The sequence below is a fragment of the Homo sapiens genome, chromosome 11 (genome assembly GCF_000001405.40).
Source record: "Homo sapiens chromosome 11, GRCh38.p14 Primary Assembly".
NCBI classification, from domain to species: Eukaryota; Metazoa; Chordata; class Mammalia; order Primates; family Hominidae; genus Homo; species Homo sapiens.
In genome coordinates this window covers 73155228-73183197 of record NC_000011.10, presented here as the reverse complement: position 1 = coordinate 73183197, position 27970 = coordinate 73155228, and the positions used below count along the sequence as shown (strand labels likewise).

The 27970-nt window shown below is 48.1% G+C and overlaps 1 long non-coding RNA gene across 2 annotated transcripts, besides 5 other annotated features; it reads left to right on the top strand.

Annotated features, from left to right (window-relative positions):
* Positions 1 to 294: 294 nt before the first annotated feature.
* On the top strand, positions 295 to 27418 carry IUR1 (imatinib upregulated ABL suppressing lncRNA 1). Of its 2 annotated transcripts, XR_950294.3 has the most exons (4): positions 295 to 408; positions 18428 to 18491; positions 20527 to 20658; positions 25185 to 27418. It is a non-coding gene; the product is annotated as an imatinib upregulated ABL suppressing lncRNA 1 (long non-coding RNA). The 2 variants fall into 2 exon arrangements; XR_001748495.3 differs by lacking the exon at positions 18428 to 18491.
* Positions 5098 to 5147: an enhancer, noted in NCBI's record as "active region_5225". NCBI's record gives its function as "activates an Ori minimal core promoter by ATAC-STARR-seq in GM12878 lymphoblastoid cells {active_cell/tissue: GM12878}" and the evidence as "EXISTENCE:reporter gene assay evidence [ECO:0000049][PMID:35858748]".
* Positions 25352 to 25531: an enhancer, noted in NCBI's record as "active region_5224". NCBI's record gives its function as "activates an Ori minimal core promoter by ATAC-STARR-seq in GM12878 lymphoblastoid cells {active_cell/tissue: GM12878}" and the evidence as "EXISTENCE:reporter gene assay evidence [ECO:0000049][PMID:35858748]".
* Positions 25682 to 25821: an enhancer, noted in NCBI's record as "active region_5223". NCBI's record gives its function as "activates an Ori minimal core promoter by ATAC-STARR-seq in GM12878 lymphoblastoid cells {active_cell/tissue: GM12878}" and the evidence as "EXISTENCE:reporter gene assay evidence [ECO:0000049][PMID:35858748]".
* Positions 25832 to 25881: an enhancer, noted in NCBI's record as "active region_5222". NCBI's record gives its function as "activates an Ori minimal core promoter by ATAC-STARR-seq in GM12878 lymphoblastoid cells {active_cell/tissue: GM12878}" and the evidence as "EXISTENCE:reporter gene assay evidence [ECO:0000049][PMID:35858748]".
* Positions 26372 to 26461: an enhancer, noted in NCBI's record as "active region_5221". NCBI's record gives its function as "activates an Ori minimal core promoter by ATAC-STARR-seq in GM12878 lymphoblastoid cells {active_cell/tissue: GM12878}" and the evidence as "EXISTENCE:reporter gene assay evidence [ECO:0000049][PMID:35858748]".
* Positions 27419 to 27970: the final 552 nt, after the last annotated feature.

Here is a 27970-nt window from a genome sequence, read left to right as displayed (position 1 = left end):
TCAAGGGAGGTTTGGTGGGGAGCAACCCTGAGCTGGGCTTTGAAGGATGGAGGCTGGTAAAGGAGGAGCTATTCCAGGCAAAAGCAGCTGGGATAGGCCTGCTTGGAGGTGGGGTGCTGGAGACAGGGGTGCCCAGCCTGTTCACAATAAGAAGTAACCACGGTAAAGATACAAATAGTGTCCTGGGACAGAAGCCAAGCCACCTTGTTATCTACTTTACCAGCTAAGCCCAGAGAGGGTGGAGCAGGCTCAAGGTCGGCTGCGGAGATCCTGGCCTCAGCTTCCCAGCAGAGGGCTCTTCTGCAGAAAGTGATCCCAGGATAGGGGGCTGCCATGGGAGTCAGGGATTTGCACCCCAAATTTCAGGTGGTATCTGAGCTCTGTGTGTCCTTCCTACCCACCTCTCAGGTAAGTGGCTTTCCTGGTATCATGGGGTTGGAATAGGGGGAGGGAACAGTTTTATTTTCTTCTTTTGCTGCTCTGTTTTTTCCCAGTCCTCTACACTGGGCAAGTACGACCTTTGTTATCGCAGAAAATGGCACAGGCTGCTGTTGATGTTTTTTAAAGAACATTTTCAGGATGGGTTTCCTAGACCTTGCAAAAAGTCAGTGTTACAAAATCCTGCAACTTAAAGGTATCCAGGGAGATATAGCAAATGTAGCAAGGTATTAACAATTGATGCTTGTAGGCAAAAAGTATGCCATTGTTCATGATACTAATCTTTCAATTTTTCCATGGATTTAAATTTTTTAAAGTTTTTTTGGGAAAAAAAGCAAGATATAAAACCATACACACAATGGGAACCAAAAATTGGAAGGAGAGAACACTAAACAATAAAACAAAATCTTCGTGACCTCGAGTTAGGCAAAGATTTTATAAATATAATACCAGAAACATGATCTGTAAAGGAAAAATATTTGTAAATTGGACTTCATCAAAATTAAGAACATTTGCCTTTTGAAAGAAACCGTTAGGAGAATGAAAAGACATGCTACTAACTGGGAGAAACTATTGCAGTACACATATCCAAGAAAAATTTGTATCTGCAATATAGAAAGAACTCTCAAAACTCAATAATAAGAAAACAAACCACCCAATTATGAAAAAAGAAAGGAGGCAAAAGATTTGAACAGATATTTCACCAAGTAGGTGTATGGATAGTAAATAGGCACATGAAAAAATGCTCAAACACATCATTACCTATTAGGAAAATGAAAATTAAAACCACAATGAGATACCACTACACATCTATTAGAATGGCTAACATTAAAAAGACTGACCATACCAGGTGTTGGTGAGAATCTGGAGAAACTGGAACTCTCACACACTGCTGGCAGGAGTGCATAATGGGGGAATCACTTTGGAAGACATCTTAGCAGCTTCTTAAAAATTAAAACACAAACCTACCATATAACCCAGCCACTCCACTTCTAGATATTTACTCAAGATAAATCAAAGCATATGTCCAAAGACTTATACACAAATGTTCAAAGCAGCTTTATTTGTAAAGCAGCTTTATTTGTAATAGCCTCAAACAGGAAACAGCTCAAATGTCCATCAACAGGTGAATGGATAAACAAATTGTGGCATAGACATGCAATGGAATACTACTGTGCAAAAAGCAATGAACTGGTGGATAACTTCTGGAATGGTGGCATGAGCAGCTCTGCAAACCTTCCAGACCTTCTTTCCAGCAGAACAAGTAAAACTGCTAAAGTTATACATACATAATTATCTATTTATATTTATATTGATATCAATATAGATGTATGTTCCTGGGAATTGTCCTAAGGGCATACAGCAGATGAAGAAACATTTATTCAAGAAAACCTACTAAATTTCAATAAGAATAGTAAGAGTCTGGGACATTTGAGCTACGACTTGCTCATTCCCTGGCCCCGTGCACCTCCAGCTCAGCATGATGGAAACTCCACTCCAGGCAGATGAAGCCAAGAATGCAGGGCTCCTTCTTCTCTGAGATCCCAATCCTCTCAGCTCTGTGTTGCTGGAAAAATTTGTTAGCCACCTGCAAAAGAACAAAGTTGGAATCTTACTTTATTCCACATGCAAAAATTAACTCAAAATGGATCAAAGACCTAAATGTAAAAGCCAAAACTATAAAACTCTTAGGAGAAAACATAGGGATAAGTCTTCATGACCTTGGATTTGGCAATGTATTATTATTATTTTTTCTTTGAGACAGAGTCTTGCCCTGTTGCCCAGGCTGGAGTGCAGTGGTGCAATCTCGGTTCACTGCAACCTCCGCCTCACAGGTTCAAGCAATTCTCATGTCTCAGCCTCCCAAGTAGCTGGGACTACAGGCATGCACCACCACACCCAGCTAATTTTTGTATTTTTAGCAGAGACAGGGTTTCACCATTTTGGCCAGGCTGGTCTCGAACTCCTGATCTCAAGTTATCCACCCGCCTTGGCCTCCCAAATTGCTGGGATTATAGGCATGAGCTACCACACCTGGCCTGGCAATGTATTCTTAGAACACCAAAAGCACAATCAACAACAAGAATGGGGGAAAATATTTGCATATTATGTATTGGATAAGGAATTTGTATCTAAAATATATAAAGCATGGTTATAGGCTGGGGGCTGTGGCTCACACCTGTAATCCCAGCACTTAGGAAGGTCGAGGCAGATGGATCACTTGAGCCCAGGAGGTCAAGGCTGCAGTGAGTGGTGACCATGCCACTGCCCTCCAGCCTGACAGAGCAGAACCCTGTCTCAAAATAAATAAATAAATAAATAGAATAAAAAGAACAAGGATACCAAGAACCAAATGCAATGAAAGAACATTGACTGGATCTTGAATTCCTCCTCCATACTCCCCCAAACTCCCCAAAATAGCTGTAAAATCCATTTTGGGAAAGTTGGGAGATATAGGAATATGGGCTGGATATTAGATGATAGTATGGAATTATTGCTTTTCTTACTATTATGATTGTGGTTATGTATGAAAAATCTTTGGAGCTGCACACCAAGGTGTTGGGGGTCATTCAGTGTCATGGTACCTGTGACTGCTTTCAAATGGGTTCAATTTTTTTTTTTTTTGAGACAGTGTCTCACTCTGTCACTCTGGCTGTAGTGCAGTGGCGTGATCTCAGTTCACTGCAGCCTTGACCTCCCAGGCTCAGGTGATCCTCCTGCCTCAGCCTCCTGCGTAGCTGGGACCATCATGCGCAGCTAATTTTTGTATTTTTAGTAGAGACAGAGATTTGCCACGTTGCCCAGGCTGGTCTTGAACACCTGGGCTCAAGCAATCTGCCTGTCTCAGCCTCCCAAAGTGCTGGGATTACAGGGATGAGCCACCACCGCACCTGGCCCTAGTTCAAATTTTAAAAAATGACAAAGCAATGAATGAAATAAGGCAAAACATTAATCGTTGAGTCTAGAAGAACGTATGGGTGCTCATTTGCTTATTGTATACTTTTTTCCTTTGTATTTGAACATTTTATTTTTTAAAAAATCAGAGGGAGGCTGGGCACAGTGGCTCACGCCTGTAATCCCAGCATTTGAGAGGCTGAGGCAGGTGGATCATTTGAGGTCAGGAGTTTGAGACCAGCCTGGCCAACATGGTGAAACACCGTCTCTACCAAAAATACAAAAACTAGCTGGGCATGGTGGCATGTGCCTGTAATCCCAGCTACCTGGGAGGCTGAGGAAGGAGAATTGCTTGAGCCCGGGAGGTGGAGATTGCGGTGAGCCGAGATCATGCCACTGCACTTCAGTCTGGGTGACTGGGTGAGGTCCTGTCTCAAAAAAAAAACAATCAGAGGGAAACATGAAAAAGCAATCACCTGCTGGGTATACAACAGAGCTTCTCTGGGTTCAGGAAATGTAGAAAGAAGCCTGAAGTTGGGGGGTAGGCAGCCCAGGTGGGGCCAAAATCTGGAGCCCTCAAGCTTCCCCCTAGAAGGAAATATGCCAGGGGGATTGGCAATGGGGAGGAGCCCCTTTACCTGGCCTCAACCCATGCCAGCAAGGTGCAAATAAGTGGCTTTCTATGCATTTTCTCATTTAATCCTCACCACATCCCATGAGTCAGGTACCATTATTATCCCCATCAGTTGAGGAACCTGAGTCTAGAGTTAAATAACTGCTTAAAGATCCTTCTCCAATCTAAGGGCTGGGCCTGGGCTTCTTGGAGGCCAGGGAAGTCATAGGTTTGTGTCCCCTCAGATCAGCCTGTGGGCAGCCCGACCTAGCTCCTGCCCTGGGGGAAGAGGGGAGGCTTTCAGGAATCAGGACCTCCTCTAGGTAACCAGACCCAGAGGGAATGGGGTTGGAGTTTGAGGCAGGGGCTCTGTACCTGCCCAGACATTGAAGGTCAAGAAAGGAGGTAGGTATGGGGCAAGGAAATTCAGACAAGCTGTGTCGGCCACAGGTACCCAGGGTTGTGACTTTTCAGACCTCGTATTCTGGCACTTCTTCTGCTGTCCCCCTCCTCTCCACACCTGTCACCCTCAAGCTTATACACACAAGCTCACTCTTCCATGCCTTCGCATAGTCTGTTCCCTGAGCCTGGAATGCCCACGGCTCACAAGATGAATTACTATCATTCTTCAAGACCCAGTTCCAAGTCCCTGGCTCTGAGCTCCCTTCCCCACCCTACTTTTTTCTATTAGATTACAATTGATTCCTTGAGGGTCCCCAGGCCTGCATAGGACCTGGCCTAGAAGACAGTGAGAGTTACATTGATGGCAATGCCTCTTTTTCTTGACCCTGTGGTACTCAGCGACCCTCCTCGGCCCCGGGCTTTCTGCTGTCACAGCCTCCACATCCTGAGTGGTCACTCTCTGTGGGTCTTCTCCCCTCACATCTGGGGTCACAATTTCTTCTATGTCCCCAGCGCCTAGCATGGGGTGGCTCAGAGGTCCCACAGAGAGCGAAGGTTTGTGGTTGCATCTCTAGCGGGACTCATGTCACACCGACTGGGCACCAGGTGGCACTGTCAGCCCAAGTAAGGGTTGGGGAGCCCCAGGCCCTAAGCCTCTGGCTCTGGTACAGCTTGGCACACACAGATGGGGCGGAGTTGTCAAAGCCCCAAATTCCAGAGCTGCTTCTCCTCACCCCATCCAGTGCGCTTATGCCTGATTTTAAAGCTTAGGATGTCAGGGATGGATTGAGAGTGGGGAGTCTTCAGTCCCCAAATGCAGACAGGAATAGCAACCTTCACGAGGCCACACAGCTGAACCTAGAGAACCCAGATGAGAGGGGTCCAGGTGGGCAAGCGGCCAGCTAAGCACCAGTCATTTCCTCCAGACTCTGCCACAAAGGACTGTGTAATGGGACAGCCCCTTCCCTTCTCCGAGTCTGCATCCTTCTGCCTCATGTTGGTAGCGAGAGCTGAGAAAATGGCCAGAGTGCCGGGTTCTGGTCCTGATTCTGGTTCTCGTGTGCTGCTGTGGCCTGTGCCTACTTCCCTGAGCCTAAGGGATCCTGACTGTTAAATGGGGGCTGGACCCAAGAGCTCTGAGCTGCCAGGACTCCAGGATCCTCACTGGGTAGGAGAGGCCTGTGTGTGGGGCCAGTCAGCATCTTGGCCAAGGACAGGCTGCTCTGGGAGCTGCCAGACGGGAAACATTTTCCGGGAGCCGGAAGGGCTGGCAGAGCCCAGGGCCAGGCTGAGCAACCACAATGGATCCTTGTGTAGAGGTTTAGCTTGGACACACCCACAGGCCCAGCCCCTGGGCTGGGGTGGACCCTGCTTTCTGATCTGCTTCCAGACCCAGCTCCTGAACAACCCAACCTAGGTCTAGAGGCAGGAGCATAGGATGGGCTCATGGTCCAGCTCCAGAGTGATGCTCACAGGCTTGGTGCCAGTGTCTGAATCTCCAGCATCAGCCTTTCTGGAATACTGTTGCCTAAATAACCTTACACAAAACTCAACACCCAGCTCTCCAACCAGAAAGGAGTTCCAAGAGGGCAGGGAGCAAGTCTTCTCCTCAAGCCAACTCAGGGAGCTCGGGACAGACAGTTGGACCAGCCTGGTTTGCTGAAGATCCCTGGCTAGGTGATCCATCTGGGACACCTGGGCTCTAGTCCTGGCAGAGCCTTAGTTTCCTCTTCTGCTCATGGGAGGGAAGGAAGATTGTAATACTTGTTTAAGGGGACACAGACACTGGGGCGGGGGGGCTTCAAAAATATCTACACAACCATCCCCCACACCACCCTGCCTCAGGAAGGACTCCACCCAAACCAATCCAGGTAGACTTGACTCATCCTCCCCTCTTCCTGCTCCTCCTGTAGTCCTGCCTGAGGCTCTGTGCTGCCTCTGAAGCAGCCCTTGGGAAGCCCTTCCAGACACCATGTGGGCTGCACCAGTTTCCCCTTCTCTGGCTCCATGGGCTTGTATTCATTGCTCCTCAGGGAATGGGGTCCTGCTGGCCTAATGCTCACAGTCATCTCAGAAGCTGCTGCTGGAGTCTGTGATTTCACCCGGCTCCCGGGGGGATGCTGCATCAATCACCTCTGTGAGGTCCAGCAAACTGTCCTAAGCATGGAAGGAGATGATGCACATGAAGGCTCTGCACATAAACTCTACCGCACCATGTAAAGCCACTGTACTAGGATGAAGAGCTAATATTTACAAGATGGAATTTAAAAGAGAAATGCAAGACTTTGCACTTGGATGGAACAAAAAAAAAAAGGTTGAGGTCTTAGATGAAAGGAATGCAGTGGGACGTGGCCAGCACAAAGGTAGATTTGATGTCTGGCTGCATTAGCAGAGGCAGAAAGCCTCTGGACTCATCCAAGCCTGCTCTCACACCCTCATGCCTGTCTCCAGAAGCAGCCCCTTCAGCTCTGAGACTGCCTTTTGCACACTGAGCTAAGACCAGCCTCTCGTGACATCCCCATAGTCTCCCTTGAGGCACAAAGGGAGCTGCCCCATGGCCTTGAGATTGCCCTATTCAACTGAGAGGAGAGTGGCTCTGCTTCTTCTCTGCTCTGGGTCTGACACCACCTGGGCAGGGCCTACAGCTCTGAAGCCATGCCTAAGAAAGGGGAACAAAGGTCCACAGAAGAGCCAGTTGGGAAGTCGTGGATTCCTCCACTGGTGGGGCTGACCAGCAGCCTGGGACACCCCTCATGTTAGGGCTGTGAGAGTCTACAAATTTCTAAATTGATCTGAGAATCTGAGGTTCTGAGGCCTGAAACCACTTGGAGGTGAGAAACTCAGCAAGCCAGGAGCCATGCTTTTTGTCCATCAGCTGTTTATTTTGTGTGGCTTTATTGCTGAGTGTGGATCAATAGACTTAAAAAAGGAAGAAAGAGAGAGAGAGAAAAAAAGAAAGAAAGAAAGAGAGAAAGAGAAAAAAAGAAACTTTCAGTGGGAGGCAGGGCTCCGCTGTCCAAGGTCACTTCGGTTTATTTTTGTCACTGGGACAACTGGGAGATTGGGAGCAAGGGCAGTGCCTGGAATTTACTCCTGGTTTCCTCCTCCCTACCATGTCCTTGCATTGTCAGCCCTGGGTCCTAAACCCAACCCAGCCTGGGTAAGAACAAGAGTGCAGGCTGTAGAAGTGGGCAGACCTGGGCCAAAGTTCCTGCATTGCCATCTACCATCTGTGCGGCCTTCGGCAAACTGCTTCGCACTTCTGAATCTTTTTCTCTGATTTGTTAAACATGAGCAAAAACATCTGCCTCCAAGGCTGCTGTGGGGATTAGAAGGAAGATGTGTCACATCAGGGCCCTGGTGCATAATAGGTGCTCAGTAAATGTGAGCTCCTTTCTCCTTGCTCCTTGCTCTTTCTTTTCTTCCTTTCTTTTTTTTTTTTTTTTTTTTGAGACAGAGCCTCGCTCTGTCACCCAGGCTGGAGTGCAGTGGCTCGATCTCGGCTCACTGAAACCTCCGCCTCCCGGGTTCAAGCATTTCTCCCTCCTCAGTCTCCTGAGTAACTAGGACTGCAGGCGCCTGCCATCATACCTGGCTAATTTTTCTATTTTTGTAAAGACGGTTTTTCACCATGTTGGCCAGGCTGGTCTTGAACTCCTGACCTCAGGTGATCTGCCCACCTCAGCCTCCCAAAGTGCTGGGATTACAGGTGTGAGCCACCATGCCCAACCTTCTCCTTGCTCTTTCCTCTTTTTGGGAGACAGTGATGCAGTGAGAAGTCCTGGACTGGGCGGGGGTCAGGACACCTGGGGCTGCTGGGAAGATTTTGCTCCCTGGCTTTGTGACCTAACGCAAGTCCCTGCCCCTCTCTGATGCTTGTTTCATTAGCTGAGAAATAAGGCAGGGGTACCAGATAGTCTCTCTAGGTGCCCTTCCCTTTCACAAGCCCTACATAGGGTACTGTCTGGCTGGGTTTTACTTACCTGAACATGGTTGGTAAATGATCTGGCCTGGAAGGCAGGACCCCTACCCCTGACACACTGGGTGACCTAAAACATATCCCCTTCTCCTCTAGACCTTGGTTTTCCCATCAGTGTACTGGATTGGATGCTGTGGGCTCTGTAGCCCCTTTGGTTCTGATTATCCAGAATCTAGTGCTTCTCATGGGGTCAGGTAGGCCTAGTCAGGCCCCTGTTTCTGGACTCCCATCCATCCATGCACCTACAGCACAATCACAGGTTCTACATTCTCCAGGGCGGAATCCACTCTGTCTCCAACCTCATGGTCTTTCCTTCCACATCTTATCCGAGACTGTGATTCCATCCCCCACTCAGCCTCGGAGTGTCTCTAAGCCTTTCTTTCCTGAAATCGTGGGGTTTCCTCTGACAGGGAATCACCTTGACCCCTTCTGACTCATTTCACAAGAACAGAAAGAGTGCTTGCCTGAAGCAAGGTCCCCACATAATGGCCCACATCTAAACGTGCACCGCCTGCCTTCCCACCACCACAGAGGCTTCCCTTTCCTTGAAGTTCTGTGGAAATGCATGGAGCAGGTTGAGCTGGAGGGCCAGAGGACTTCCGTGCAGTGCACATACATGGAGAGGTCTCCAGGGCACTTAAGATTAAGATAGTCCTGCGCTTGGGCGTCCTGAGCTCGAGCCCAGGAGATAAGGCCCTCCTGGGTTGGTCTGCTCCTGGACAGCTGGCAGATGGCAGGTTCACAGCATCACACCCATTACGTGGGCTGCAAAGGTCACCTAGGGTGGTGCATGACATCATACCCACTGGCAGTGAGGCCTGTGAGCAGCGTCACTGTGGGGCTGTGCCCAGATACTGCCCTCTAGCCGGAAGAGGGCTTCCAGGGTGGAAAGGCCCAGTTCACCCTGCCAGACCTGGCAGGGGCCCGCCCCATCCTGGATCTGATTCTCCTAGAGAGGCAGCCAGGGGTGGAACTCAGAGTTCTCCTCCCCACTGGGACTGCTGTTGGCTGCCCTGCCCACCAGGAAGCAGTGGGAGGAGGCTAGGGAGGTCTTGCCAAGGAGTATCCCTAGAGGATAGGGGTCTCCTCTGGGCACCACTAGTTTGGACCCTGTTTATAATGGACTAGGTCACCACATCATGCATGGTGGTCAGCATACTCCCCAGCTTGAATGCACTTAGGGAAAGGGACTGGGTCATCCTGAGCCCCAGGGCCCATTTAGGGCTTGGCACAAAATAGATGCATAAAAGCTACTCCCATCTATGCCCTGTTTTGAGTCTTCCCAGCACGGACCCATAAAGGCCCTAGCAAGGGACCTCCTTCCAACAGAAACAAAGAGGCCTTAGAGTGGGTAGACCTTAGTTCTGAAGGATGGAATGCTAATATTAGCCTAGGGGCAGCTCCTGAGGGGGAGTAGGGCCTATGGAGTGGGATGGAAATAGCCCATGGCATCCCAACAATCCCTGATTCTTTTGCTTGTTTTATGGTCCCATCCCACTCTCTGCATGGATCCTGGGCCCCAGGCCACCTAGACAGGCTTCCTGTGAACGGCTGGGTTTCTAGGTGTTCCATTTCAGTGCGAGGCCTCTCACTATTTCCTACTGCTGGGGGTGCTTTCTTCATCCCCTTCTCCCCGGAAACCCTCCTGACTCCAAAGTCCACTGACTGTGGGACACAAAAGTGACCTTTCCTCTCCAAGTTCTCCAATAATCCCAGTTTTTTCTACTTATCAGCCCACCTAGCCCCAGAGTTATTGGTGCTGTTCATCTTATCTGTCTCAGGAGGTTGCTCTGACAGAAAGCAAATACCAGCCTTGGCAGCCTCAGTTTCTCCACCTGTAAAATGGAGATAGTGATTCCTACCCTTCCAGGTGGATGTAAGGATTAAATAAAATGAGTCAGCTCAGAACCCAGCACAAAGTCATCTCAGTTGTCCACACAGATGGCAGGTAGTAAGGCACAGCCAACCTGCACCAAGATGCAGGAGCCTCAGCGCTGGGGTTCTCAGCCCTGTAGAAAAGCTCCATTAAGCAGCTGAGCAACTCACCTCACCACCCAGGCACAGGGAAGAGTAGCCTGGGAATGTGGGAGACCCAGAGGAGGAGGCAGGCACATTATAAGGTGTCCAGATAGGGGCGGATTGAAGACCACTGACCTCCACTGGGGATCTGTTATGTGCTGCACCACCTGCTAAGTGCATCACAGGCTATCACAGGCACTCACCCCCAGTTCTCAGGATCCTAGAGAAGTTACAGTCGAGACTGGCTCTTTCCACTGCCCCTGTACTATAGCAGTGATGCCAGGGTACCTAGAGGCAGATGAGTGTTCATTTATAGATATAACATCCCAGGTGTGGTGCTCTTTCATGCAGTAAAAGTGAATCTACACTGTAAAGTGATAGGGAGAAAGTGACTTTAAAAAGAGACTTTATTTTGAATTTATTTTTATTTATTTATTTATTTATTTATTTATTTATTTATTTATTTATTTATTTGAGACGGAGTCTTGCTCTATCGCCCAGGATGGAGTGCAGTGGCATGATCTCAGCTCACTGTAACTTCCACCTCCCAGGTTCACGTGATTCTCTTGCCTCAGCCTCCGGAGTAGCTAGGATTACAGGTGCCTGCCACCATGCCCAGCTAATTTTTGTATTTTTCATAGAAACGGGGTTTCACCATGTTGGCCAGGCTGGTCTTGAACTCCTGACCTCAAGTGATCCACCCGTCTCAGCCACCCAAAGTGCTGGGATTACAGGCGTGAGCCACCACACCCGGCCTGAAATAATTTTAGATTAGAAAAGTTGCAAAGGCTAGGGGCCTTCTCTGGAGACCTTCAGTCTTGGGCCCTGTTTCTCATAGACTAGATGGCCACATTGTGCATGGCAGTCAGCATACTCCCCAGCCCGAGTGCTCCCAGGGAAAGGGGACTGAGTCATCTTATACAATTATACCTCTCACCCAGTTAACCTCTTAAATTACTATGCTACGTTTGTTACAACTAAGAAACAGTAGTACATTAGTATTAACTAAACTCCACACTTTAATTGGATTTCACCCATTTTGTCCTCTTTCTGTTCCAAGATCCAATTCAGGGTACCACATTGCATTTAGTCATCATGTCTCCTCACTGTGGTCTGTGACAGAAGAGACTGACTTTTTAACTGATGGCTTCCTATGGGAAATAGAAGAGAAGGCTTTTTTTAGTGGCTTCCTTCACTATCACTTTCACAATTTCACCTCACAAAATTCCCATCAGACATGTGCTTTCTCCGGAAGCAGCTCAGCCCTGTTCTCCTTCCATCTTGATGCCCCACCCAGTCGTCAGGCCCTGGACACCCTTTAGGGACTCTCTGCTATCTCCTCTCTCTCCCTCGCTCCCTTTTCTTACTGGAGGATTTTAATTCTGCCCTGTTACTCTGTATGAACCATTTATTTAACACAGTCTTTAAGTATATCAGTGGCTATTATTCTAAGAATTATAGAACACCTGAAATTTTAGTTTTAGTCCCACTCTCTTCCTGAGGCAGAAACTTTATGCTCTCATGTGAGAGAATGGGGTAAATCCTCAATTCAGTATTTCCCCCACATTCATCCTCCTTCTGTCTTCCCTGCAGTTCTCACATTTCTTTTGGGATCACTCCGGTTCCAGGGAAGCCAACTCCAGCGGGGAAAACATGACCTAGGCTTGAACAATCCGTGCATCCATCCTTCAGCCACAGTGATTGGGTCAGGCATGGCGTGTGACCCAAGATGATCCGATCAGAGTAAGTCTCAGGACTTTCGCAGGCACTCTGGTTCAGTTGCTCTTTTCTCAGCTTCCTGGAGGCACTCCAGTAGAGATGGGAGGGCAGTGGCCATTGTGTTACTGCAAGTGGTTGTTGAGGAATTTTTACTTGAGGCAGACACATGGAACAATTCTGCCTTTTTTTTTTTTTTTTTTTTTTTTTGACAGGGTCTTGCTCTGTTGCCCAGACTGGAGTACAGTGGCACTATCATAGCTCACTGCAGCCTCAACCTCCTGGGCTCAAGTGATCCTCCCACTTCCGCCTTCCAAGTAGCTGGGACTACAGGTGCATGCCACTACACCTGGCTAATTTTTTATTTTTTATTTTTGTAGAGATGGGGGCCTCACTATGTTGCTGAGGCTGGTCTCAAACTTCTGGGCTCAAGCAGTCCTCCCACCTCGGCCTCCCAAAGTGTTGGGATTACAGGTGTGAGCCACCATGCCTGCCTGCTTTTTTGCTTTTATTTTTTCTTGACACTTTCCTCTTTTTTTAAAACGTCATAGATAGAGGTTTTTCTTTTAAATAACTTCAATTATTTAATTGAAGTTCAATTATTGGTCTTGTTCAATTATTACAACTCAGATCAGTCTAGTTTAAAACTTCAATCTCCTATCCAATTAATGGCAATCCTCCTACCCCAGCCAGGCTAGAATTGTGCTTGAAGGGCTTGCTGTGGAATGGGGAATGGCATGCCAGTTACACACTCTGCTCTCTTTTCTGGCCACTAGCACCTGGGGGTGGAGAAGCAGTCTGGTGAGATCTCCTGCTGGCCTGACTACACTCTGCAGGGGAAAGGGCTTCTTGGCCTTACTCTGGTTCTGTCTGCCCTTAGCAGCGTCTGTGATGTGCTGGGCTCCACAGAGGTGATATGTATGGTTCCTGGGGGATTCAATCCTACCTTGGCCCCCTCATTGCCCAGGACTCCCACAGATACGGGCAGCCTGGCCTTCTTTTACCCTGCCATCTGTCTGTCCCCTAGCCCCTCCTTCAGGTCCAGGGGCCCACTGCTTGGCCCAGTGGCTGCCGGCTGGCTCTCTGGTTCCTGCCCCTCCTCTAACCCCCATGCTCTTTCCCATGGAGCCATGGGAAGTATGAAGAACTGAGAGGGGTGCCTCTATTTTCCTCCCAAACCCACCATACCCTGGTCCTGACAAGCTCTGCTGACCCAGGTGCCTCCATGGGCCTGCTACCTTCGGAACTCTCTGGTCCATTATCTATATTCACAAATGACCCCAGCCTCACAGGAACACAGGCCAGGTCCTCCCTGCCCACAGCCCTGCTTCCTCGCCACACTTTATTTCCACAGCAGCACAGGATGAGCCTGCAGGGTTCGAGCTCAGTGAGCGTGCCCGGAGAAGCTCCTCCCCTTCTTGCAGGCACCCCGCAGTCTCTTCAAGCATCCTCTTGGTTGCTTCCTCACCCCCACATTTAGCTTTGACAGGGAAGACAAACATGGAGATTTGGAACCACTGCTGGTTGAAATGTAGAAGCATCAGCATCCAAAGGGGCTAGTGGGACTCGTGGAATTTTCCATCTGGACCCCTCTCTCACTTCCCCTGCCTTCAGAGACAAGTCCCGTCCCCATATCTTTGATCCTCCCAGCAGTAGGTTGGCCCCTGCCTGCCTCAGCTCTGAGATCCCCATCTCCTGTAAAGGGAAAACAATGATGCATTTACTGAGCTTCTTCAGAGGGCATCTGCCACAGGGTGGCCTTCCTGGTCACGATGAAAATGTGTGCCAGAAAGTTTCAAACTCCTGAGTCATTGGCGTCCCTTAGTTTGTCCTTCAATCTGACCACATGTTCAGGGTCCTGTGAGGTGCCAGCAGGTGCCAATCCTCTTGGTGACCAGACTTTCCCTGTGGAAGGGAGTATCCCCAGGGCTTTAGCCCCTGGCTTCAGGCTTGCTCCGAGAACCTTCTGTGAGTGCTGACCTCCTGCCTGCCCCACCCCCGTCCTGCAGGGTCTCAGATTCAGGAGGCTGAGCGGTGTGTCTGCATTCCCTCCAACTCCCCAGTCAGCACTGGCTCCTCCAGCCATAACTCCGTGGTTCGCTCATATTCTCTGAGGACTGCCCAGCTCAGCCCCACCTTCCTCCTTTCAAATCACCTTACCTAATGGGGAGAATGTCAGGGGTAATATCATTCAGGATTCCGACGAAAACAGATGAAAATGGAAGGTAGTTTTATTTATGAAGGGACTATTTACTAAGTGTAGGGGAACAGCAGAGCTGTCATCACCTTTAGGCCTGAATGGCCAAAAAGACAGAGCAGTTACTGGAATCTGGAATGAGAAAGAGTCACAGAGAGTCTGCCACTTTGAGAGGGGCAGTTGAGTCTAGTTGAGGGACAGGGCCAGCCCAAGGGAGTGTCACAAGAAAAAAAGCAGTAGTAAGTGAGAGGCCAAGGCGGGCAGATCACCTGAGGTCAGGAGTTCGAGACCAGCCTGGCCAACATGATGAAACCCCGTCTCTACTAAAAATACAAAAATTAGCCGACGTGGTGGCAGGCACCTGTAATCCCAGCTACTTGGGAGGCTGAGGCAGGAGAATCACTTGAACCCAGGAGGCAGAGGTCACAGTGAGCCAAGACCATGTCATTGCACTCCAGCCTAGGCAACAAGAGCAAAACTCCATTTCAAAAAAAAAAAAAATAGCGGGAATAAATACCCTGACCTCCCTCTCCTCCCTTCCTCTCATCTCCAGCTGGGCCTCTCCATTGGCCAAACCCAACCTGAAGCCAGAAGCACAGATTGTTGTTAATTAAGGCTGTAGTGGTTATCTTCCTGTAAAGAGCAGGGTGGGAAAGGGTAGGGAATGGAAGATATCCAGCATAGGAAATCCAGTTTCCAGGGAATTCTGCTTTTTTTCAGTGAGGTTTCCCTATAAATTACATCCACGGATATCTCTTCTAGCAGGACCAGATTTTCCATGCTGTGGTCAAGCACATCTTATGGCTTATAGCACACATCTCTTCAATCTTAGTGCATATTGGGCGCGCTTTTCTCCTTCCTGTCGTCCTGTGAATCTTGGCCTCCCCTTCTCACTGCATATTCCTTAAGTGGCACGGGTCATTCTTGTGCAGGAATTGAGGGATTGATCTGTGGCTCTGAATCCGTGTTTGATTCTTGCTGTCAGAACCTAAAATCTCTTAATTTTTCCCACTTCTCTCCCTCTCTCCTACCACCATCCTGTAATATTACAGCAGGAAGCTTTAATCACAATTCAGCATCCTCTTTTTATCCCTGTGGCTGCATTCCTGCAAACGTCTCTCTGTTTTGGTAGCATGTGGCCTTGACCTAGGGTTTCAGTGCTTGTCTGGTAGCCAGCCCTGCAGCAGCAGGTCCAGCTCCAGGAAATCCTGTCTCCATAGCTAAGGCCAAAAGGAGAGGGAGTGGGGACCCAAATCAGCCCAGGGTATCTGCCTCAGTCCACCTCACCCCTTCCTGGAGACACTGGTTTCTTAATAAATCACGTGTCCTTCAAGGCTGGATTAAATATCAGTTTCCAGCCTGGGTCACATAAGGAAGTTTGGGGTTTTTTTGACATCAGTCCCTGAGCTCACTGCACAGGGTACATGGCCTCATTTTTCACTGACTGCTGTCTTGCCACTCTCATTTCTGCTATCAGCACCTTGATTTCCTTTGAGAGACTTTCCCATCTCTACTCTCAGTTCAAGGAATTCCTATGTGGCGGACCCCACATTCCCAACTCCAGAGTTGGGGAAATAATCCAGTTAGCTACATGAGACTGGTACTTTCCCCAGAACTACTGGGAAGGTCAACATTTTCTAGCAGGGCTGATGATGTCAAGATGCAACTCTTGGAAGTCACTTTTCTACTACATGGGGAGAGTAACTTGAGAGGGAAGCCAACACAGAGGAAGAAAGAGTGGTGAGATGGAGATAGATTCCTGGTGACTTGACTTGTGTGCCTGGATCTAGCCATTCCTGAAGCTAGCCATACTCCTGGTTTTCATATTTATGTGAGCCAATAATTCCAAACTCCCCTTTTATGGTTGGGCTTTATTTTATTTCCTTAACACACTAGAGATGAATTTCCATGATTTGCAGCCCAAAGAATCCTGATTAATATACCTTCTGAAAAATTCATTCTTAGGTCAGAATGCTGACCTCAAAGATATAACTTCCCCCTGGCTTTGGGGAAACATTCCAACACCATCTCTGTTTCAGCTGGATCGCCTGCCCTGGTAATTTGGCAGTGATGGAGAGGGAGGCTCACCTTTGGTTCTTTACATAGGGTAATGATTAATACCCAGTTTCAGCTGAGAATTGAATGGCCCATCAAAAAACCTGGGCAGGAGCTGGGCACGGTGGGTCACACCTATAATCCCATAATCCCAGCACTTTGGGAGACTGAGGCAGGTGGATCATTTGAGGTCAGGAGTTCGAGACCAGCCTGGCCAACATGGTGAAACCCCGTCCCTACTAAAAATACAAAAAATAGCTGGGCATGGTGGCACACGCCTGTAATCCCAGATACTTGGGAGGCTGAAGCACCAGGATGGCTAGAACCCCAGAGGCAGAGGTTGCAGTGAGCCAAGATTGCACCATTGCACTCCAGCCTGGGTGACAGAGTGAGACTCTGTCTCAAAAAAAAAAACAAAAAAAAACAAAAAACCCTTGGGCAGGATCCTAAAATGCAGCCTAGGTGTGTGCCTCCATTTATACCCCTCGCCAAAGAGCAAGACTCAACATTTCTCTTAGAATTGCCCCAAAGTAAATCTTTACCTCAAGGCCTTAGTGAGGAATGGTTATTGTATTGTAGATTCCTGTCTAGAGATGGAGTAGTGTTTTACATCAAACAGTCCACAGCAACTCTCTCTCCTCTCAAGCAACCCCAGGCTCCTCTCCTCACCAGTGAACCCCACCTCCACCTTTCCTGCCCTCTCCCCACACTACTTTTTTTATAGCACAATTAGCTCTGGGGTTCTCTTCCTTACCCGTGATATATAAGGCTGTGATCTAGCATAGGAAAGGCCATCACCCTGACCCTGAACAAGACTTCGTTCTCAGCAAACCAAAAACCTGCAACCTACCTAGGTATATTTTCCTTAGAAGGCATGGAGGAAATTGTAAATTTTCTTGTGATTATGGTAGTATCATTATATAATTTCAGATCTGAATTTTTGTTATATATGAGAAAAATGACTTGATTTTTAAATCATTGTACATTACATAGATGTCAAATTACAATATAAAATGATTTTTATATTGTAAAAATTATAAAATATACAACATAAAAATTATAAATATACAATATAAAATATATAATTTTATATTGTAAAATTTTGTATATTGTATGTATTTATAATTATAATATCAAATAATTTTTTAAATTATGTACCCAGAAGGAAAAATATTAATTTGAAGTCATATTTTTTCCAGCTTTACTGAGGTATAATTGAGAAATAAAATGTATATATAATCAAGGTGTACAATGTGATATTTTTACATAGGTATACATTGTGAAATGCTTACCACAATCAAGCTAATTAACATATTCATCACTTTACAGAATTACCTACATTTTCTGAAACATATTTTTTTCCTGTCGTGTGTTATAATTCTTCAGAACCAAATATATACCACACTGCTAAATCACCCCTTAACTGGAGATCAGTTTATGCAAATTACCCAGAGTCCTTTTAACACATTATTTTTCTGCTTAAATTGGTCATTTTTTGCTGTCACTTGCTCCCACAACCCTACAGATGCAGTGGATCCCTCCTGTCCCTTGCCCTAGCTCAGCTTCTGCTTTCTCATAGCCTGCACTGACTCAGGCAGCTACCCACTCCCTCTTTTCTGAGTCTTCCTGCCTCATCTCCTGTTTCCAACAGCTTAGCTTCCTCCTCAGATCTCAGGTTCAAATTCCTCAGAGGAATGAATGGCTGGCCCAACTTAATCCCTGTCTTCCAGTTTGGGCCCCAAGCTTTTTGGGTTGAACCAGCTCTGAAATCTCCAGCAAGTCCATAGCTTAGCTGCTCTGAGGCGTTCAGCTGTAGATAAGGGAGGTGGAGGGTTGTGGAACAGGGTGAGGGGAGAGCCCTTGAGCAAAATGGCTGTCATGACAAACACTCTGGAGCTTAGTCCATTCAGAACTGGGGGTGACTGTCCCCTTGCCACATTACACTTAGAATGTGGGCTCCCATTCCAAATCCCAAACCAGGAGAAAGCCCTGGATTGAGTGGTACCTTCCTGACCAGAGAAGAGAGACTGGAACAACAAGGGAACATCACTCACAGGGACAGGGGAGGGAGAGAAGGGGCCACAGAGGACATAATCTCCACCTTTGCCTGCAGACAAGGTCTCCAAGCACAGAAGCTGAGCTATTCCGGGTGGCCTGGAAGGAAGTATCAGAACCAGGTATGGATGTTACAAGGAGGGCAGACTCCATTTCAGCTTTTAAAATATTTTTCTCACAGTCAGAGCTGCTCCATAACAGACCAGGCAACCTTTGAAGGTAATGAGCTGTGTATTTTGGCAAGGTTGTAATGGACAGAATTCCTATAAGGTTGCAGTGGGTTGAACTTTGAGGTCTTTGAGGTCTCTTGCAGCCCTGAGCTTTGCTATTTGGAATACTTAGTTGAATAAATGAAGAGTGAATAGCTACTTATTATTTGCTGGTTGAATGAAGGTTGATTTGTTAGAGAAAGTGAATGAATGAATGAAATTAGTAGTCCTAATAAATACAGAATGCTTGACTGAATGAAGACTGGTTCATTCATTGATTAGTTGAATGAAGGTTGATTGGTTGGTTGCAAGAAAGAATTCATAAATGTAGGTCATAGATGAGCAGGCTGCTTAAATGAAGGTTTGGTGGCTGATAGGATTCAGTTCCTTGGCACTTGCTATCTTCTCTTATCTTGCCCTTTATCCTGCTTTTCTTTCTTTTCCTTCCAAGTGTAGTCAAGAACTGTTTTCATTTGTGTGCTGGGTGTGCAAAACATTGCAGACTAAAGACTCCTTTTGCATAAACAAGATTGGTTGCCCAGGCACATGCTTATGGTGACTGGTCTAACCTGCTTCTGAACTAATGGGTGATCTGAATTTAGCATCTTGGCCTAGGGAGTGGAACTGAAGGTCACAACTGGAGCTGGGCCTCACGTAGGCTCCCTCATGTGTAGGCAGAAAATGCTGTCTTCTCTGTGGGTGAGCAAAGGTTGCCTATTTGCAAGAAACTATATCCCAAACATTCTTTCAAAGTGCCTAAAATTCCACCAGTAGAATTACACCTTCTTTGCACAACAGAGCTGAAAGGCTGTTGAAGCAGCACATTCCAGCAACCTTTTGCTCAGATTGTTGTGCCTTTGGAGTAACTGTGATCCTTGGTGAAATGTGAATGGAGTCAGGGAAGGGATGCATGTGAAGCCCTTAGTGGCTGGATTAACCAACTGTTGTCACCAGCTCCTTCGGTCAATTTGGTCTATTAGCTGAGCTCAGTGCTCCTAATGGGGAACAGAGGAACCTGGACCCAGGCTGGATAAGCTTTGTAGGGACAGTGAACAGGAAATAGCCTGAGTACTTGAGTACTATCATGGGCTGTAGACATAGGCAAGGGGCCATGGTGGAATCCTGAAGATGAGGAGCGGCTCTTGAAGGGGACCCACGAAGGAAACCTAAGTAAGGAAAGAGGCCCAGAGACTTTCCCTCCCATTCCCCAGGGTTGTCTTGAGCTGGCTTGGGTGCAAAAAGGAATAATATACTTTCCTGGTCCCCCTCATCCTGCCCCACCTCTGGAACTAGAGAACCAAATAACTTGAGAACTGCATGTAACTTGTGTGGTCCCTCCACCAGCTTAAGGTAAAAACTATGGCCAAATTTTTTCCCCATTAATTGCTTGAGCTCCACAAGATTTTATCAGCAGGAAGTTCAATCTGGCCCTCTGGAGGCCTTCCCCCATGTCACAGGAGTGCTCAAAACCCACAGGGACTACACTAGCTCCTTTCCAACAAAGGCACTCTTGAGTCCCAGTCTTGCTCCATCTTACTGTTCAGAGTCCCAGCAGCTGTGAACACATGACCCCCAAATCCAAGCTTTCATTCACACTCCTGAGCTCCAGCAAGTTTCACCAGGAGGAAGGTCCAGAGGGGCTTCTAGGTCCTCAGCCCCAGAGTTAAGCCTGGCCACCAGTCCAAGGCTCCTTCCTACACCACTGGGGGCTCAGGGGTTCTTTCCTTCCAACAAGTGGGGCTCACTGGGGATGGTCATCTTAGCAGCCAGATAACTTTGAACCTCACAAGGAAAGTGACTGGACCTTCTTCCATTTGTGCCCTGGGGCTCCTTTGTCAACGTCTCACTCCTCCCAAATATGTTGCCTTTTTCTTCAGCTCTGCATCCCATTTGATGTTAGGAGAGGCAGCCTTTGTTGGGCCACAAAAGGTCCTGTTTTGTCTCCCAGGTGCTACTTACATCTGATAAACTCAAGTGGTGGACAGAACAGAGAGGGCCTCCTCCAAGGTGACTTGCTAAGTCCTCCCCTAACGACGAAATAGAGAAGCTTCCTGCCCCTGTTACACATGGCCTCCTCCCGGTAAGTATCCCAGAAAGGAAGTGACTTCAGTGACCATTAGTCAGGGACTTTTATACTATGCCACTGGGTTCCTCAGAAAAGACCTCTGTGTGGGGCAAGTCAGGGAGAGGGAGACCAAGAGAAAGTGCCCTCTACACACGAGCACCCCCTCAATACACATACACGCATGCACGCACACGCACGTGCATAGTTATCAGCCCCATGCGACCTTACCTGCCCTTCTTGCCTCCAGTTAACCACTATCAACTCCTCACCAAAGCCTTCATGCAGTCTTTGGGTAACTTTTCCTCTGATTAAAGAACCCTGCAGCTAAAATACGGTTTTTGTTTTGTTTTGTTTTGCTTTGTTTTTTATTTAGAGACAGGGTCTTGCTCTGTCATCCAGGCTGGAGTGTAGTGGTGTAATCATAGCTTACTACAGCTTTGAACTTCTGGGCTCAAGTGATCCTCAGCCTCCCAAGAAGCTGGAACTACAAATGTGCACCACTGTGCCTGGCTAATTTTTTCTTAAATTATTTTGTTGTTGTTGTTGTATAGACAGGAGTCTGCTTAGGCTGGTCTCGAACTCCTGAGCTAAAGCAATCCTCTGCCTTGGACTCCCAAAGCATTGGGATTACAGGCACGAACCACTGCACCTGGTCAAATATGTTTTTTGAAAAAAAATCTCCAGGCCAACCACAATGAGATACCACTTCACACCCATTATGATGGATATAACTTTTTGTTAAAAGGAAAATTACAAGTGTTTGCAAGGATGTAGGAAAATTGGAACCCTAGTGCACTGCTCATAGAAATGTAAAATGGTGTAACCACTGTGGAAAACAGTTTGTTGGTTCCTTTAGAAGTGAAACATTGAGCTACCAAGTTGATCCAGCAATTTCCCTTCTAGGTCTATATCCCCCAAAATGGAAAGCAGAGACTTAAGCAGATACTTATATACCAATGTTCACAGCAGGATTATTCTCAATAGCCAAAAAGTGGAAATAACCCAATTGTCCATCAACAGATGAATGGCTAAACAAAATGTATACCCATAAGGTGAAATATTATTCAACTTTTAAAAAGGAATGCAGTACTGACACATGTACAACATGGATGAATCCTGAAAACATTATGAAAGAAGCCAGATACACACAAAAAACAAGTATTGTATGATCCCACTTATATGAGGTACCTAGAAAAGGCAAATTCATAGACCAAAAGCAGAATAAGAGGATTATCAGGGGTAGGAGGAAGGGGAATGGGGAGTTAATGTTTAATAATTACAGAGTTTCTGTTTGGGATGATGAAAAGCTTTGGAAATGGGCTGGGCGCAGTGGCTTACACCTGTAATCCCACCACTTTGGGAGGCTGAGGAGGGCAGATCACCTGAAGTCAGGAGTTCAAGACCAGCTTGACCAACATGGTGAAACCCATCTCTACAAAAATACAAAAAAATTAGAGGGGCATGATGGCGGGTGCCTGTAATTCCAGCTACTCAGGAGGCTGAGGCAGAAGAATTGCTTGAACCTGGGAGGCGGAGGTTGCAGTGAGCCATCATGCCATTGCACTCCAGCCTGTGCAACTGAGCAAGACTCCGTCTCAAAAAAAAAAGCTTTGGAAATGGATAGTGGAGCACAACATTGTGTATGTACTTAATGACACTGCATTGTACATCATTGTACATCTAAAATAGTTAAAATTGTAATTTTTATATTCCGCGTATATTTTTATCACATACACACAATGCCCATGCCACCTTTCTCTGCCTCAAGCAGAGGCAAAGCTTTCCATGGAGCTTTCTCCCTCCTTGGCCGAGCAGTTAGATGGGACGAGAGACACGGGAGCACCCAGCCAGCACCTGCACACAGGAGCAGTCTCTTCCACTTCATCTGCCTACAGACTGTCCTGACCAGACGAGCCCTTAGTGTTTACAGAGTCCACCTCTTCATCGTACAGACGGGAGTGTGATATGCCCAAAGTCATATACTTTGGTGACTCACTGCCCCATGCTCTCTCTCTCCTGGGCTGGTATGCTGGGAACAGACAACTTTGGGGCTAGGCAGGGTTTCTCTGGGAGGTGATGACATATGACCTCTGGCCTCTGAAGGCTCCTCAACTGGGCTAGGGTGGGGACCAGGATACTGAGAGCTAGGATGGTCTCACACCCAGATGAAGACATAGCCACCTCCACCTAGATGTGATGGGGACACCCCACCTACTCCCCAAGCATTTCCTTAGTCCCATTCCTCCCTCCCATCCTGCCCTGTCCTCCCATGTGACATCACTCCTCTGGCCTGTGTCCCCACAAGACTCCGTAGGGTAGAGAACGACAAGATAGGACAAACTGATAGGCCTGGATGTAGGGTGCCCAGATTAGTTTATCTGTTCAGCAAACTGTCCTTTGCAGGAAAAGCCTGCCCCCGGTGCTGCTGAGCATCGACTTGGAGGGCAGGCATGTCTGAGCCCTGAGGTCAGGAGAAAACTTCCTACTACTCCAGGTGCTTTTCCAGGTCTAGAATTTCTTGGCCAAGGGACAGAGCTTCAAATCATTTCCCAGCAAAGCGAGAAAGATGTCATGTCCACAATGTCTGAATTAACAAAGGCAGCTGGGAGCCAGGAGGGAGAGATCAACAGAAAACAGTTAAGATGGATCAGTGCAGGGACAGAGGATAGTACAGATGGCAGGTTGGATAAAGGTCCTGAGCCTGCCTGGAATGGGGGATCTGGGAGAGCTTCCTGACAGAGGGAACTCCTAATCTGAATTCTAGGTAATCTATAGGAGTTAGGCAGGCCCAAAGGATGGGAGCTGAGGAAGGTCTAGTCAGTGGGGTTGTTCTGGCATTGACTGGGGGCCCTGTTCCCTGAGACCCCAGTGTGAGCTGGAATGGGGGAGGGGGTTATAGGAGAAGGTTGCTCTAGGTTCCTGGCAGCGCTATGGGGTAGGAGGGTGGATGGCTGACAGTGAATCTTAGAGGAGAATCCCACACAGGTGAGGGGTGGGTTCCCTGATCCCCCACTATCCTGGGAGGAGCCCTCCTGGCCTGGGGAGGTAGGTCTCAGCTGACAGCCTGGCTGGGTGTAAGTACTCTCTTTGGCCTGGTGGCTTTCTTCCTGATGACCTTCAATCCCACTCAGGCCACCCCCTTTACATCTGCCTGACACCCGCCCTCCTGGAGGCTCTACTTTTCAACCCAGGAGCCCCCGGCAGCACTGGGCCTCAGTGGGGATGGTGTGGGGGTGTGGGGTGGGCAGGGGTGGCTGTGAGAGGGCAGCTCAATCACAATTTGGAATCCTGGCATGTGAGAGCCCAAAGGGACCATAGGGATAGTCTAACTCAAACTTCCCATTTTACAAATGAATACACTGAGATCTAGAACAAGACACAGATAGGGAATTGTCTGTGGCTATTCAGTGAGTTAGAAGCAGAGACAAAATTAGAACCCAGGCCTCTGATCCCAACTGAGATCCTTCTTTCTCTACCCAGGATCTTACAGGAAGGAAATAAGCATTTTAGCTAGAGCAATGAGTCTCAAACTTGATTAAGTCAGCTTGAGACACTGCATTGATGTTAAATGTGGTTCCCTTAGATTCTTTGGAACTAGTCTGCTGATAAATCCGGATATGGACACTGACGCTTAGAGCAGCCTCTTTCATAAGATGCTGTGCATTCCAGTCAAGCCAGAATATTTTCATATGAATGTGTTTAGATTATCATTAAAGTGAACGTACAAAACTTAAAAAATTCAGGTAGCATATCTGCAGACATCCATGAATAAGGCTGGAAACTCATGAAACTGAAGAGCCCAGTTTGAGAAATCCTGGGCTGAAAGGCCAGTCAATCCTGGGGAGTGAGTGGGACAGATCGGGTTTAAGCTACAGTGTCAATTGTGATGGGGCCCAGTGTGGGGCTGGACTCCTGCCCTCTGCCCACTCCATGCCCTAGCCCTCTTCCTCTGATAGGCAGGCCTGGGAGCGTCCTTCCTGTGGTTTCAACCATCTGGGAATCTGCAGGTCGCGGATAGCTCAGAGCCGACCTGGGCTGGACCTGCCCCTCTGGACCTTGAGTCTTTATCTGTAATATGATAGTGTGGATTTGCCTGGAGGGATTGGAAGGGATAGGATGGGGAGAAGGAGACAGGGACAGAGCTGTCAGTGCAAACTGGGCATTTTTTTCTGGTAGTTGATAAGTCAGCAGCTGAAAAGATAATCTTACCTTGTATTCCACTTCTGAGATGTTATCTTTCAGAAATCACGCTAAAGGAAAAGGCATGGCTCTAGAAAGGACTGATAATCACAACTTAGTTATACCCAGAGCTGGTCCCCTAGCTGGGCAGCTTACATTTTTGTTCATAGATAATCAGCTGGCCCTTGTGGCAATCCTGGGAGATGGGGACCCTCTGAGCTCCCTCAGGCCCATACTTCTTCTTCTTCCAAAGTGATCTCAAGGTGTTATCACTGTCTGTGTTCCCATCTTCCCACCACCCCCCCCAACCCAACAGATCTGAGCCCCTCCAGGGTTGCCTCCTTTCTATTCTGTATCCTTAGGGCCCAGCAGCTCACCTGGACCACGGAAAGCACAGAAAGAACTGGCTGAATGAATCAAGAGATCAAGTGTTCTCCCTGAGGCCCTGTAACAGCTCTGCAGCTGACTGCCCAGAAGGAAGCAGAAGTGAGTGACAAGTTGGGGGAACCAGAGCTTGCACACCATAGGCCTGAACACTAGCCTCTGGGGAAAGGCAAGTCCAGCTGACCTTGGTGAAGTTAGGACCCGGGCCGAGGCCACCTCTTCTGGTTCACCCTCTGCTGGCCTCCCAGCTTCTTTGGCTCAGCAACACCCAGGATTCCAGGCATGTTTGCCTCTGGCCTTCTAAAAATACCCAGGCCACCCAGCACCTCCCAGATGTCTGAGCGCTGAGTCTGTGATTTCCCTGCCGGTAATGGGACAGCCCCGGGGTGGGCAGGCGGGGGTGGCTCGAGCAGCTCAAGCCACTTCCTCTGCCTCCCATCCCCTAGCCTACCAGAAGCTGGACCCAGCCCTGCCTCCCAATCCTTGCAAGGCAAAGGAGGGTAGAGGCTAGCAGACCTCAGAGATTGTTGACTCCAGTCTCTTCTTGGGACAGATGGGAGATCTGAAGTCTAAGGATTGCTCATGGCACTTGTGCCATTAAGGTCCTCCTCACCCCACTCCCCAGCACTGTGTTCATGCCTGCTGCTGTCTCACTTCCCACATGCTACTTGGAGTCTAGGTCTTGGAGCCCAACCTGACTTCCTCCATGCAGCTGAAAGCTCCTGACAGCAGTGAAGGGGAGGATCCCTGTGGTCTCCATGGTGCCTGGAAGAGTGTCCAATCCAGAGCACACCATCAGTAAACGTAGATTGGATTGAACAATGTAGTGGCAGCTGGGGCAATGGGTGGAGCACTGGGCTGGAGGACAAAGCCTCTGAATTCTATCTAGCCCAGGGTCAGCCACTGTGATACTATGCATCCTCATCAATTGCCCTGGACAAACCTGTTTCTCCTGGGCTGGATAGGATGGTGTCTAAGGACTGAGCCAGCTCTGCTGATATGAAGCTGCAAGCTGATGCCCTGCTGGATATTCCTGTCCCTTCTCTGCTCTACTGTATGTCTGGGAGAGATGGCACAACCTGTAGGTTCCATCAGCTCCAGGTTCTCAGCTTCTGCTCCTCCCTCCGTGCTTCTGAACATTCCACCTCTGGTCCTAGCCCCTGAGGCCCAGCTCTTCCAATAGTGCCACTTCCACCTCTGCTGCTGGGTACACAGGGGTGAATGCATACCTACCTCGCTCACTAATCATGTGACCTTGGGTAAGGCATTGCCCTTTTCTGGGCTTCAGTTTTATCATATCTAAAAGGGAATAATAAGGCCTACCTTAAAGGAGTGCTATGAGGATGTAGGAGATTCCATAGCTCAGATGTCAGGTTATATATCACCTCCTGCAGAAAGTCTCCCCTGTCCTCCCAAGGATGGCTCAGATAGCATTTGTTGCTGGCTCTTCAGTTCTGACCTTCCCATGTTCACACTATGTGGTCATTGGCTCTCTATGCATCCATCCCCCACCAAGCTGTGGGCTCCTCAAGGCCAGGAGTCTCCAGGACCCAGTACAGGACCTTTACAGATGAAGTGCCTGGGAACGTTTTTTGACAGACACAGTGGGTGAGTAAAGCCTGAGAGAAAGGCAAGGGGTTGTGCAGAAGTCTGGGAGTCTGAGTAAGAAGTGGCCTGACTGACAGGGCAAGTTCTGGTGGTATGAATATTGACAGCTGCTTGGAGCCCTTCCCCCATTTCCCTGCTTGGTAAATTCATCCTTCAAGATCCCAGGAGAGCATCTCCTTCCCTGAGAAACCTGATCACTCTCCCCTCTACCACATTACACACTCCACTGTAGGTGTTCTTTACACACCTGTCTCCCTTCTCAGATGTGAGTTCCCTGAAGGCAAGACCCTGTTGGATCTCACAGCACCAAGCACTAGATCTGGCATGAGTTAGTCAAGGTTTTGGAGCAGAAGAATGGATGGAGGAAATAATTTCTGAATCGAACTTGGAATTGAACTGCCTGAACTTTAATGCCCTTTCCAGCCTTAGGGATGATAATGAATTACCAAAGTGAGAAAAATGGAGGCGCAAGCTGTTGTCATCCTTCCAGAGGCACCCTCCAAGTGTGTGTGGGTGAAATGTGAGCTGGAGAGAGGATTGACAAAGAGCAGTGAAAACATATTCCTGGACCCCATTCTTTTTTTTTTTTTTTTTTTTTTTGAGATGGAATTTCCCTCTTGTCATCCAGGCTGAAGTGCAATAGCTCAATCTCGGCTCACTGCAACCTCCACCTCCCAGGTTCAAGCGATTCTCCTGCCTCAGCCTCCCGAGTAGCTGGGATTACAGACACACACCACCACGCCCAGCTATTTTTTGTATTTTTAGTAGAGATGGGGTTTCACCATGTTGGCCAGGCTGGTCTCGAACTCCTGACCTCAGGTGATCCACCTGCCTCGGCCTCCCAAAGTGCTGGGATTACAGGCATGAGCCACTGTGCCTGGCCTGAACCCCATTTTTATCTCTGGATTTTTCTCTCTGTTGAAGAATTGCTGCAGAAACCATATTCTAAGTATAAAAGGCCTTTAGATACCTAAGATGATCCCCAGAACCTTGATGTGAATCCATTTACTCATACTTTACATTCTCACTTTACACTTTGAGCATGAAGCCCATGGTGATCTGGTTGTAAAAGGTTTAAAGGTTAATTGGCAGCCAATGTTGGGGGTGAGAAGTTGCTGCTGCAGGCAGGCAGGTATTCACCAAGGCAGCAGAGAGA